Source organism: Homo sapiens, chromosome 10 (genome assembly GCF_000001405.40).
Source record: "Homo sapiens chromosome 10, GRCh38.p14 Primary Assembly".
Taxonomy (NCBI): Eukaryota; Metazoa; Chordata; class Mammalia; order Primates; family Hominidae; genus Homo; species Homo sapiens.
Window position 1 is genome coordinate 67,794,280 of NC_000010.11, and position 13,911 is coordinate 67,808,190.

Sequence of the window (13,911 nt, forward strand, 5' to 3'; positions counted from 1 at the left end):
AAATGTAAAAATGTTCCTCTTCATTGAGTAGAAGTGTGGTGTCCCTTCCCCCAAAGAAATATTTAAAGCAAATTTTAATCGTGTCCTAATTCACTGTGTAACGTCTTTACTATTCAAATTTAATGTATTTCTTGCTGAAAGATGTGAGGTGGCTTATTGTGCAACAAATTACTCAATTGGTTACAAAATAGCCAGATATTATTTATGGCTGGTTTGAAGATAGTCCCTCTAAATCACCATGGAAGAAACAAAATAATTTACAAAAATTTAAGTTAAAAAAAAAAAAAAAAAAACAGGTGGCCGGGGGCGGTGGCTCATGCCTGTAATCCCAGCACTTTGAGAGGCTGAGGCAGGTGGATCACCTGAGATCAGGAGTTTGAGACCAGACTGGTCAACATGGTAAAACCCTGAGTAACTACTAAAAATACAAGAATTAGCCAGTCGTGGTGGCGGGCACCTGCAATCCTAGCTACTCTGGAGCACCTGCAATCCTAGCTACTCAGGAGGCTGAGCCAGGGAGAATTGCTTGAACCCTGGAGGCGGAGGTTGCAGTGAGCCGAGACTGTGCCACTGTACTCCGGCCTGGGCAACAGAGAGAGACTCCGTCTCAAAAAAATAAAAATAAATAAATAAATAAATAAGCTACAATGATTGGAAGGACATGACATCTAAATAACAGACAGCCCTTTATACTGAATAAATTTAGCTTTTTAAAGGACACTGCCTGTGGGGGAGGGGAGTGGGAAAAAAATGGAAAACAAAGTTGTTGTCTTAGTCCACTGGGCTACTTAACAAAATACCATAAACTAGGTAGCTTATAAAAAACAATATTTTGTTTCTCACATTTCTGGAGACCGGGAAGTCCAAGATCAGGGCAGATTCATTATCTGGTAAGGCCCCACTTTCTGGCTTACAGATGGTGACTTCCTGCTGTGTCCTCACATGGTGGAAGGAATGCAAGGGGTCTCTCTCTCTCAATCCTCTTTCATAAGAGCACTAATCCCATTCATGAGGGTGAGCCCGCATGACATAATCACCTCCCAAAGGCGTCACCTCCTAATACCATCACCTTGGGTGTTAGGATTTCAACATGTGAATTTGGGAGGAACATAAACATTCAGGCCACAGCACTTACTATACTCTTATCTTTCTCAGTGTGCTGTAGCCCAGTGAAAACTCTGTCACTGACTAAGGAACCTCTACTCTAAAATCCTTTTTTTTCTTTATTTTTCATTCACTTGTTTGCAAGCTAAAAAGTAAATATAGACTACATGTTTTCATCAATAATTCCAACCTAAAGAAGTTCTATTACCTAACAGGTTCATTTTCATAGTTAGAATGTAATTTATAAATTTATCATTTGCAGCCAGGCACAGTGGCTCATGCCTGTAATCCCAGCACTTTGGGAATCTGAGGTGAGCAGATCACTTGAGGTCAGGAGTTTGATACCAGCCTGGTCAACATGGTGAAACACCGTCTCTACTAAAAATACAAAAAAAATAACTGGGCGTGGTGGCACACTCCTGTAATCATAGCTACTCAGGAGGCTGAGGCAGGAGGATCGCTTGAACCTGGGAGGTGGAGGTTGCAGTGAGCTGAGATCATGACACTGAACTCCAGCCTGGGATACATAGCAAGACTCCATCTCAAAAAAAAAAAATTATCACTTGCTTATATAACACAAAAAATCTTGTAAAAACATAATTTCCAGTTGGGCGCAGTGGCTCACACCCGTAATCCCAGCACTTTGGGAGGCCGAGGCGAGTGGATCACAATGTCAGGAGTTCAAGACCAGCCTGGCCAAGATGGTGAAGCCCTGTCTCTACTAAAAATACAAAAATTAGCCAGGTATGGTGGCAGGCACCTGTAATCCCAGCTACTTAGGAGGCTGAGGCAGGAGAATCACTTGAACCCAAGGGACAGAGGTTGCAGTGAGCTGAGATCATGCTACTGCATTCCAGCCTGGGTGACAGAGTGAGACTCCATCTAAAAAATATATATATACATATATTTTTTTCCTCAAATAAATCATAACTTTTAAAATTAGGTTAGAAATATCTATTCAAATTATTTTTAAAATACCATCAAGGCTGGGCATGGTGTCTCATGCCTGTATTCTGAGCACTTTGGGAGGCCAAGATGGGAGGATCACTTGAGGCCAGGAGTACAAGACTAGCTTGGGCAACATAGCAAGACCTCACCTCTATAGAAAATAAAAAATTGGCCAGACATGGTGGCGTGTGCCTCTAGTCCCAGCTACTAGGGAGGCTGAGGTAAGAGGATAATTTGAGCACAGGAGTTTGAGGTTGTATTGAGCTATGATTATGCCACTGCATAGCCTGGGTGACAGAGCAAGACCCTAAAAAAAATTGAATTATAAATTCATTTATGAACTTTGGGAAAATTATTTATTTCTCCCCACGGGGTTCAGACAAGTAATTTCACATTTCATTGTAAGTCAAGGGTAAGAAAACATTTTTTGTACATCCATCACTAATAGAGATCACAGTATGTCAATGAAATATTTAAATACACTGTACAGAGATTGCTTTTTAATGGATTTCTATAAGTAGTATTAATAGGAAAAAGCATATAATACAATCTACTCTGTATCTAAGAGCTTTAATTTATTCAAATATTGGAAGAAATTCATCTTCTGAATTTTTCTTATTTAAAAAGCATTATGAGAACTGATTCAAGGATGGAGGAATCAATTAGTACTCAGCAATTCACAGACATGACATAAACATGACATTTTTAAGACATAAACAAAGACTGCATGTTGGCAGCATAGGGGACAGTCTTGCTCTTCCTCATTTTTTGAAGCAGAGATATTTCATATTTCATAGTTTCTGAACTTCCTCAGGAGTTCTGAGGGAGCATCCTTGGACCAGCGGAAACGAAGGTGCCAACCATTCACATCTGCAAAACCTTTAAAGGAAAGAAAGTAAATATTTAAAATCAGAAGTAGGAAAAGTCGATCTTGTTATAGTAAAACAGCTTGGGGATAATATTTCACTGCAGCAGGTACAATGTAAGGGTAAGACTTTGGTATGAATTATTAACATCTTAGAGAAATGGATTAACTTAAACAGACTGGAATTCTTATGAACACGAATTACAATTTATATGGATGATAAGACCTCACATGCTTAAATACTTAATAAGAGGAAATACATAGATGCCTCTGGTGGTGGGGAATTTGACAATTCACATGCAAAGAAATTTGAAACAAATTACACAGTTTTCAAAAACCTTTCAAAAGTTAAAAGTCAATGGCAAAAGGATCGCTTGAAATACAAGTACTATAATTGAATTCCATGGTAATAAGATTTTTTTTTAGTTATAATAAACAACATTGTTGAAAACCAGAGGAAAAGAAGGTAATTTTCCTTCCCTACTAGAAGTATGAATTAGCAAAACCCCTCTGGCAGGCAATTTGGCAATATTTATCAAACTCGTTAAAATGTATAAACCTTTGCCAGGCGCAGTGGCTCACGCCTGTAATCCCAGCACTTTGGGAGGCCAAGGCGGGCGGATCACGAGGTCAGGAGATCAAGACCATCCTGGCTAACACGGTGAAACCCCGTCTCTACTAAAAATACAAAAAATTAGCCGGGCGTGGTGGCGGGCGCCTGTACTCCCAGCTACTCGGGAGGCTGAGGCAGGAGAATGGCGTGAACCCGGCATGCGGAGGTTGCAGTGAGCCGAGATAGCGCCACTGCACTCAGGCCTGGGCGACAGAGCGAGATTCTGTCTCAGAAAAAAAAAAAAAAAAAGTATAAACCTTTGACCCAATAATTTTACTCCTTGAAATGTATCCTAAGGAAATAATAATGGATGCACCCAACGATTTAACTCTAAGGATGTTTATAATGATACCATTTATAAATTTTTTTTGCAAACCAAGAAACATTCTAAACTTTAGCAAATGAAAGCTGGTTAAAAGGTTTTGATATCGTCATTAACAATATCTTAATATTTACCATTATAGAAAAATGCTCACAGCATATTGCTAAGTGACAGTTAACAAAACTGTTTATATAGTATGATCTCATTCCTAAACTCATTATTTACATGAATATTTATGTGAAATTTTTTTAAGTCTAAAAAAAGAAGGCCCAGCATGGTGGCTCACGCTTGTAATCCTAGCACTTTGGGAGGCCGAGGCAGGTGCCTCTCTTGAGCTCAGGAGTTCGAGACCAGCATAGGCAACATGGCAAAATCCCGTCTCTACAAAAAAATACAAAAAATTAGGCGGGCGTGGTGGTATGTGCCCGTGGTCCCAGCTACTCAGGAGACTAAGACAAGAGGATTACTTGAGCCCCAGAGGGGGAGGTTGCAGTGAGCCGAGAGGGTGCCACTGCACTCAAGCCTGGGTAATAGAGTGACACTCTCTCAAAAAACAAACAGATAAGAAAAGGTACACCAAAATTAATAGTATTTATCCCTGGATTGTTACAATAGATGTGATTTTCCTTTTTTTTTTTTTTTTCCTTTTCTGAAACGGAGTTTCGCTCTTGTTGCCCAGGCTGGAGTGCAATGGCGCGATCTCAGCTCACCACAACCTCCGCCTCCCGGGTTCAAGCGATTCTCCTGCCTCAGCCTCCCGAGTGCTGGGATTACAGGCATGAGCCACCACACCCGGCTAATTTTTGTATTTTTAGTAGAATCGGGGTTTCTCAATGTTGGTCAGGCTGGTCTCAAATTCCTGACCTCAGGTGATCTGCCTGCCTCAGCCTCCCAAAGTGCTGGGATTACAGGCGTCAGCCACCGTGCCCGGCCAATTTTCATTTTTAATACTCTTTTTTGTTTATCTGTACTTTCTTATTTTTCTGCAATAAACATCTATGCTTTTCGTCTTTTTATGTTAATAATATTGCTAATGAAAAAGCAGGTTACAGAATAATATATAAAATACACTTCCATTGATATTTTAATATAGTATATAAATATGTAGTCAGAAAAAGCATATACAGAATAGTTAACAATGGTTATCTCAGAAAAACAGATTACACTGACACTTTTTAAAGAATTATTGGAGAAAACAAATCTGAAGAATTTTCATTTGGGGAAAAAGCAAAAAGGAAATTGTTTCTGATTGCTATAATTGTTCCTATAATTAAAACTTACTCACAAAATATGTACAGTATGATCCTTTTAGATATACTAACACAAATGAAAATATACCAAAATATCGATAATACATATTTCTCTAAATGATAAAATTATGAGTTATATGTTCTTCCTTTTGCTTGATTATATTTTCTCACATTTTATATAGTAAGTAAGTGTCATTTTTGTTTAAAAAGATGTAGTTTCTGGCCAGGTGCGGTGGCTCACGCCTGTGATCCCAGCACGTTGGGAGGCCGAGGCGGGCAGATCACAAGGTTGGGAATTCGAGACCAGCCTGACCAACATGGTGAAACCCCGTCTCTACTAAAAATACAAAAATTCGCTGGGCGTGGTAGCACACGCCTGTAATCCCAGCTACTCAGGAGGCTGAGGCAGGAGAATCACTTGAACCCAGGAGGCGGAGGTTGCAGTGAGCCAGGATCACGCCACTGCACTCCAGCCTGGGCGACAGAGCGAGACTGTCAAAAAAAAAAAAATGTAGTTTCTAGTTAGGGTTCCCGTAGAAATAGACATGCAGACAAGAACTTGAAACAGGTTGGGCACAGTGGCCCACACCTATAATCCCAGCACTTTGGGAGGCTGAGGCCAATGGATCACTTGACCTCAGGAGTTTGAGACCAGCCTGGGCAACATGGCGAAACCCCATCTCTATAAAAAATTAGCCGGATGTGGTGGTGCACACCTGCAGTCCCAGCCATTTGGGGGCGGAGGTGGGAGGATCATCTGAGCCTAGGAGGTCGAGGCTGCAGTGAGTCGTGATCACACCACTGCACTCCAGCCTGGGTGACAGAGAGAGACTCTATCTCAAAAAAAAAAAAAAAAAAAAAAAAAATTGAAACAAAGTGGCTAATTTGGGAGGTAATCCCAGGTGGCACCTTAGCAGAATGAGAACCAAAGCTATAAAAGGTACATTATCAAACAAGTTACTGCCATGGGTAACTGCAAATGATCCCACTGGGGAACCCTGGGAGATAATATAAAACTTCTTAGAGTTATCTCACATGAGGGGTGAAGGACCTGGAGAATTTAGCTTCCCACTTCCACTCATTATTGTCATCCAAAGGGCATTTACTCCCTGACACTTACTGCCTGCTGATTTGCTGCCAAGTAGGCTCCATTGCCAGAGCAAGCCCTCTGGCAGAGTCACAATGTTTGTGGCTGGAGCCACAAGGTTGGCAATGCCTAGGAAGGTAGTGCCCAGGGACACGGCAGCACACCAAAATCATTGCGTACATTTAAATTTTTCTTGGTGGGACGCGGCGGCTCATGCCTGTAATCCCAGTGCTTTGGTGGGCCGAGGTGGGCAGATCACGAGGTCAGGAGTTCGAGACCAGCCTGGCCAACATGGTGAAACTCCGTCTCTACTAAAAACACAAAAAATTAGCCGGGCATGATGGCAGGTGCCGTAATCCCAGCTACTTGGCAGGCTGAGGCAGGAGAATAGCTTGACCCGGGAGGCAGAGGTTGCAGTGAGCCGAGGTGGTGCCACTGCACTCCAGCCTGGGCAACAAAGCAAGATTCTGTCTAAAAAAAAAAAAAATTTCTTTCTCTTTTTTACTCCAAGATGTTACACAAAACTATTTTATTTTAGAACTGTATTTATCAGAAGACATATTTATTGCATATTTAAGCAGAAAGAAAGTAAAAATGAGATTGTCTCGCACAGTGGTTTTCAGATGCAGTGCTCCATATTTTACTTTTTGCAATAAAGAATTAGAATGTGGTGGGGGCTATTTGGTGGCTGCTCATCACAGAAGAGACATCAAAAGGCAAATTCCAAAGTGAATATCTAGCACTGCTTGAGGAAATTAGCAAATATGCTGAAAAGTAATATATAAGAAGCCACTCAGGGCTTGGTAAAGTTGACAGGAATAATATTTCTTAAATGCTGACATTATAAAAATTTACGCTGCAGTAAAATGAAATCATAAATAATCATGCAACAGCACTTTGATATATCCAACTCCAGCTTTAAGGCACTAGTCAGAAAAGCCAATAATCTTTTAAACAGCATAAAGAAAATACTTGTAAATGCAACCTTTGGCAGAATTTCATAATTCTCCAACAACAGCTTTTTAGAACAATGATTCCCAGTTGGATGCAATGGCTCATGTCTGTAATCTTAGCACTTTGGGAGGCCAAAGTGGGCAGATCACCTGAGGTCAGGAGTTCTAAACCAGCCTGGGCAACATGGTGAAACCCCATCTCTACTAAAAATATGAAAATTAGCCAGGTGTGGTGGCGGGTGCCTGTAATCCCAGCTACTTGGGAGGCTGAGGCAGGAGAATCTCTTGAACCCAGGAGGTGGAGGTTGCAGTGAGCCGAGACAGTGCCACTGCACTCCAGCCTGGGCAACAAGAGCAAAACTCTGTTTCAAAAAAAAAAAAAAGAACAATGATTCCCATCCCCTCCACTTCATTCTTTTTTTTTTTTTTTTTTTTTTTTTTTTTTTTTTTGACACGGAGACACAGGGTCTTGCTCTATCACCCAGGCTGGAGTGCAGTGGCAGGATCATAGCTCACTGCAGCTTCAAACTCCCAGGCTCAAGTAATCCTTCTGCCTCAGCCTCCCAAGTAGCTGGAACTACAGGCGCACGCCAGCATACCTAGCTAATGGTTTTTTAATTTTGTGGAGACAGGGCTCTTGCTATGTTGCTCAAGCTGGTCTCGAACTCCTGGACTCAAGCGATCCTCCCATCTCAGCCTCCCAAAGTTCTAGGAGTACAGGCCCAAGCCACTGCAGCTGGCTCCACTTCATTCTTAAACAATAGCATACATATCACAATATGAAGACATCAAAACTGGCATCACAATTTGTTCTGAGTAAATTATATGTGAAAATTGATTATATGAATTGGCATTATCTGTTATTACCCAAGTAAATTAGAGCCGAGAACCAGGGAGAGGAAAAGAAAAGCACTCAGGACACAAATGCCTACCCAAGAATTCTATCACAAGCCAGCTGCCGAAATGACCTGCCTTGCCTCTAAGGCTAGTTTTACCTATTGCCATCACTCACCAATTACAGCTTGCTAGCTCCCAGAACTTTGCTAGTGCCAATGAGTTTTCTTTCATAACAATATGTAACATTTCTCTTTCTAATAAAACCCCCAACATTTTATTTGTTCTTCAGACACACCAAAGACCATCCCATCTGTGTGTATGCCTTGAATTGCAATGTAGTTTTTATATATTTTCCCAAGTAAAATGTTTTACATAGAGATTCGAATCTATATTTTTGTTTGACTTTGACATAACATATATCTACACTGTGGAATGTTATCAGCTGTTAAAAAGCAGGAATTCATTCTGAATGTAAGGATTTAAAGAGAAGTCTCTTAATAATAAAAGTTAACACTAAAAAAAGTGTTTACAATGTGCCTGGTATTGGTCTAAATATTTTACGTATATTAAGTTATTGTGCGTGTGTGTGTGTGTGTGTGTGTGTGTGTGTGTGACAGGATCTCATTCTGTCACCCAGGCTGGAGTACAGTGGTGCAATCGCAGCTCACTGCAGCCTCAACATCCCCCCCCACACACACACCCGGGCTCAAGTAACGGGATTACAGGCACGCACCACCACTCCTGGCTAATTTTCATATTTTTTTTTAGAGATGGTTTCACCATGTTGCCCAGGCTGGTCTCAAACTCCCGGCCTCAAGCAATCCGCCCACCTCACCCTCCCTAATTGCTAGGACTACAGGTGTGAGCCACTGCGCCTGGACAATTAAGTTATTTACTCCTCAAAAAAAAAAATTTTATGAGGTAGACACTAATATTTTGACCATTATATAACTAAGAAGACATAGATGCAGAGGGGTTAACTAGCTTGTCCAAGGTCATACAACTCATCAGTGAAAAGCTGAGCCCACATTCTTAACCACTGCGTAACACAGAGAAATGTGTACAGTATAACCCCATTCTTTACTTTTAAAGCTCTCATAAGTGCACATATACACACCTGTGTTAGCATAGAGAATAGTGGAAGGAAACACACCTGAGTGTCAGCCTTGGTTACTTCAAGAAACAGAAGCAGAGAAGGTTGGCAACCTGGCTATATATGATTCTTTGAATTTTTTAACAGCAAGTCTATACTACTTTTGTTTTTATTCAGTATCTAAATTACTATTTTTTTAAAAAGAAGGAAAATTTCGTAGAATCCTATGAGAGGGGCTCAAGAGGCCTCAGCATCATGCCTGAGTCTCTGAAGTGTCTCCCACCCACACTACACCTAATTTTGGTGTGCACAGACTTGGTCTGAATCTGACAGAAACAGAAAGACTTGGGGAACCCCCAGGGGTTCAAGAAACACAGAACTGAACATTCATCGTGTTTACATGTAGGGGAGTGATTGTACTCCTGTGTTTGCTTAAAACACTGTTTTTCTACACTTCAGGCTTCTCCTTTGATCAGTTTGTTAAATTATAACCATTTCCAGTTACTGGGTGATGCAATCAATGTGCAGACTCCACAGCCATCTCTTGGGTAACCAACAGAGACATCTGAATCAAACTCTATGGATCTTCATTCCCAGCAAGAAGAGAAGATGTAAAAGTTCTCCCCAAAGAGAGATTTGAAGTGACTATTTCTCAAAAGACTATAATCCACCACAAGCCATCTAACTATCTTCTTTTGAATACAAGTGTTCTAGGGTGTTCAGGAACGTTCTGCTTAAAGGCTAAATTCTAATAGGGTGCTACATCACAACCCTGAGAATCAACACATAATAATTTGAAGGACAGTTACAATGTGTGTATACAATGTGTGTATATACAACACATCCAAACTAGTTGGATGGCTAGATAGATAGCCAGCCAGATAGACAAATGATACAAACAGGTAACATTTACCTAGGGCTTCCTAGAGGTGAACCGCTGTGCTAAGCATTTTTTATGTATCTCCCCATTTAATCCTCATGGTAACCCTATAAGAAGGTACTATTTTTTATTTAAGAGATGGAGTCTCACTATGTCACCCAGGATGGAATGCAAGCACCTAATCACAGGAGTGATCATCACACACAGCAGCTTTGAACTCCTGGCCTCAAGCCAGCCTCCTGCCTCAGCCTCTTGAGTAGCTAGGACTACAGGTGCACAACAATGCACCTAGATGAGCAAGTACTATTATAATCCCTATTTTATAGATGCAGAAACTGAGGTCTAGAGAAGTTAAGTAACTTTGCCAAGTAATACAGATAATAAGTAGTAGAGCTAGGATGTGAACTCAGGTAGTGTAGCTTGGTAGCCAGGAGGTAAACTTCTATAATACTCTGCTTCAGTGGATTTATAAATGATTCAGAATGTCTACAGAGCTATTTACAGATAAGGCATTATTGGGCCGGGCATGGTGGCTTACACCTGTAATCCCAGCACTTTGGGAGGCCCAGGCAGGAGGATCACCTGAGGTCAGGAGTTTGAGACCAGCCTGGCCAACATGATGAAACCCCATCTCTACTAAAAATACAAAAATTAGCCAGGCATCATGGCAGGCGCCTGTAGTCCCAGCTACTGGGGAATCTGAGGCACAAGAATCACTTGAACCCAGGAGGCAGAGGTTGCAATGAGCTGAGATTATGCCACTGCACTCCAGCCTAGATGACAGAGTGAGACTCCATCTCAAAAAAGAAAAAAAATTAAATTCAATTCAATAAGGCATTATCATAGGATAGGGCAATGCCTTGGAACACTGACTGAAGTCAACCTGCCTTGGTTCAGACCCCTTTCCCTTCCCATACAAGCTGTATGGCTTTAAGCAAATTATTCAACCTCCTGGCCTTTGGTTTTCTCATCTATAAAATGAGAATAATATTGATATCAGCCTCACAAGCTTGTAGTGAGAATAAGTTAATATATATAAAATTAATATTAAATGAGATAATAAATGTAAACTAATATATGTAAAGAGTGTTCCTGCACATAGTAAACATTCAATCAATGTTAGCTAGCATTATGTCAGTAAAGCCAAAGACACTGAGAATTGTCTCAAGGTTTCCCTTCTGAGGAATACCTTCTAGTTTCGGTGTCAATGCTAAGTGTCTTTTAAGATGATAAACCAATCTTTAAACTTGGCACTGCTGTGCAGATTGAAAAAGTTAAGAATAAATGCAATATAAACAAAACTCTTTAATTTCAGACCTTCTCCATTCTGCAGTTATATAACGTGACTTACCTGAAGAATCTGAATTTTGCGGGGAGACTGACTTCTCTAGGGGCTTGGGTTCTTTCTGCTCCGTTTTCTCTGCGGTTGAAGCCAGCTCCTCTTTCTTTCTTTCTCTTTGCTCATTACATTCCTCATTTTCCATCTTGGTGGTATGAGTCTTGTCAGATTCTTCCAGCATCAGGTCTTTTTTACCTCTGACAACCCAGTGCATTGACTAAATTAATGTAAAGCAGAGATATAAAAATTAAATTGATATTATATGATTTTCTATATTTAAAGTTTGATATGTGGTAACACCTGACCTACTACTGTAGTGCTAATTAACAGCATGTTAGACTTGACTATTAACAAGATACTCATAAATTAATCCAGATATTAATTAATCCAACTATTAATAGTTACTTTTCACCATACACCCTTTTGTACCTTTTTCATTTTCTGTTCTGTATATGTATTTCCTATTAGATCTAAAAATTGGACAGATGGATGAATGAATGGAGGGATGGATGGATGAACTAACAAATGAATACAGTGAAAAAGAGCGCTTTTGAGTTTGCTGTATCAAGAATATTTCAAGTGGAATCATTAGCCCTACCATCAACCAAAATAATGCATAACTATTTCTTAAAACCTCATCGGGATATTGTGGGAAGCTATTCCTGAAGTACTAAGAAACAGTGACACACTACCTCTATTACCACAACTCAAGACTAGAAGGAAACATAGCCTTTAACACCCTAAAATTATAAATATTCTAGCTCTCTGCCCTAATCAAATCAAAGAAGTCATTTATTCCCACCTTCAACCTATCTCTTCCCAACTACAAAGAAGTGTCATCCTGAATCCTCTTCTCCAAATATAACCAGTCCAAAGGCTAATCAACCCCAAGATCCAAGAACCACCCCATAAAGCAGTCATTGCCACCAATAAATGTAACCAGCTCTCACCCTAACAAGAAAAAGAAAAGAGGCTGGGCACAGTGGCTCATGCTTGTAATCCCAGCACTTTGGGAAGCCAAGGTGGGTGGATCATTTGAGGCAAGGAGTTCGAGACCATCCTTGGCCAACAAGGTGAAACCACGTCTCTACTAAAAATACAAAAATTAGCTGGTCGTGGTGGTGCACACCTGTAATCCCAGCTACTCAGGAGGCTGAGGCGGGAGAATTGCTTGAACCCAGGAGGTGGAGGTTGCAGTGAGCCGAGATCGCACCATTGCACTCCAGCCTGGGCAACAGAGCAAGACTCGGTCTCAAAAAAAAAAAAAAAGAAAAAGAAATGGGAAGGAAAGGCACCAAAATATAACTGTAGTTATGCCTGTGTAACAGAATTACATCTTTTGTTTTTGTATTTCCCAAATTTTCTATGAGAAGATTATATATATGTACAATTAGAAAACATTGTATTTTAGGCTGGGCGCAGTGGCTCACACCTTAATCCCAGCACTCTGGGAGGCCTAGGTGGATGGATCACAAGGTCAGGAGTTCCAAACCAGCCTGGCCAACATGGTGAAACCTCACCTCTACTTAAAAAAACAAAAATTAGTTGGGCAAGGTAGTGTGTGCCTGTAATCCCAGCTACCCGGGAGGCTGAGGCACGAGAATCACTTGAATCCGGGAGGCAGAGGTTGCAGTGAGCTGGTATCGCACCACTGCACTCCAGCCTGGGTGACAGAGCGAGATTCTGTCTCAAAAAAAAAAAGAAAATATTCAATTTTAAAAATTAGGCGAAGTTTCGATGCAAAAACATACAAGGTGGGAGATTCCTGGTGCCAACAATATGTGTGGGAAGGGAATAGTTACAGAGTAAACACTTCAAAACCATTTGCTAAATTGTAAATGCAAGTATTACCCATTTCTCTGTAGATTTTATTTCAAAATAAAAACGTTAATTTTTAAAAGAGGCAATGCCTCAGCTGGTATTAAAAAAAAAAATGACTTTTGTTTGGTTGGTTTAGGTTTGTTGTTTTGGTTTGGTTTTTGCATATGCACAAAATAAAAGAGGCTGCCAGTGACTTCCTCTGCAGAGGGAAAAGGATATTAGGAAGGTTAGTGAAAAACAAGGAATAAGACATTCAAGAATTCAGGGCCCAGAGAGCTGAAAATGTAAACTGTGAGCTTCACAAGCCAGCAAAGTGGCCTGTACGTGATGTATTGATCTCTGTGCCTCAGTACTTCTCTCTTGAAATCAAAGTACCTGTGGTCTGTCTTAGATAGGTTAGGATTAATGTCTAATCCACAGTAAATGCTTTAAAGGTCCTCAGTGAAAAGATGTTCTGAAATAGTAGTCTTATCCATCTCCTTTGTGAGTAAATCAGAATAAAATATGTTATCAGACTCCCATATCTGCTGATCCTCATTAAAGAAATATACAGAAGAAATATCCAAACTGTATCTAACCTTAGATACAAGTGCTTCTCACGCTTTGTAGTTCAATCAAAGGACTAACATCAGAGTGATGCTAAGCAGCCTGGTTTGCTGGGACACAGTTAGATAGTCTGCAAATCACTCATTTCTGTGTTCACAAGCATATTTCTCAACTCCACAAGGGTATTAGTTGCACAGAACAACATTTAACATCAAGCGAACTAGTCTATTATGCAGCTACTCATTTCAGTAGA

General features: G+C 40.5%; 1 protein-coding gene across 1 annotated transcript in view; it reads right to left on the reverse strand.

Annotated features, from left to right (window-relative positions):
- DNAJC12 (DnaJ heat shock protein family (Hsp40) member C12) overlaps window positions 2,390-13,911 on the reverse strand; it is a 41,520-nt gene continuing 29,998 nt past the window's right edge. The window contains exons 4-5 of the mRNA NM_021800.3: window positions 11,304-11,508; window positions 2,390-2,931 (exon numbers count right to left, since the gene is read on the reverse strand). Coding sequence (NP_068572.1) covers window positions 2,837-2,931; window positions 11,304-11,508 — 300 coding nt within the window. The 3' untranslated portion in view covers window positions 2,390-2,836. The remainder of the gene's footprint in view (window positions 2,932-11,303; window positions 11,509-13,911) is intronic.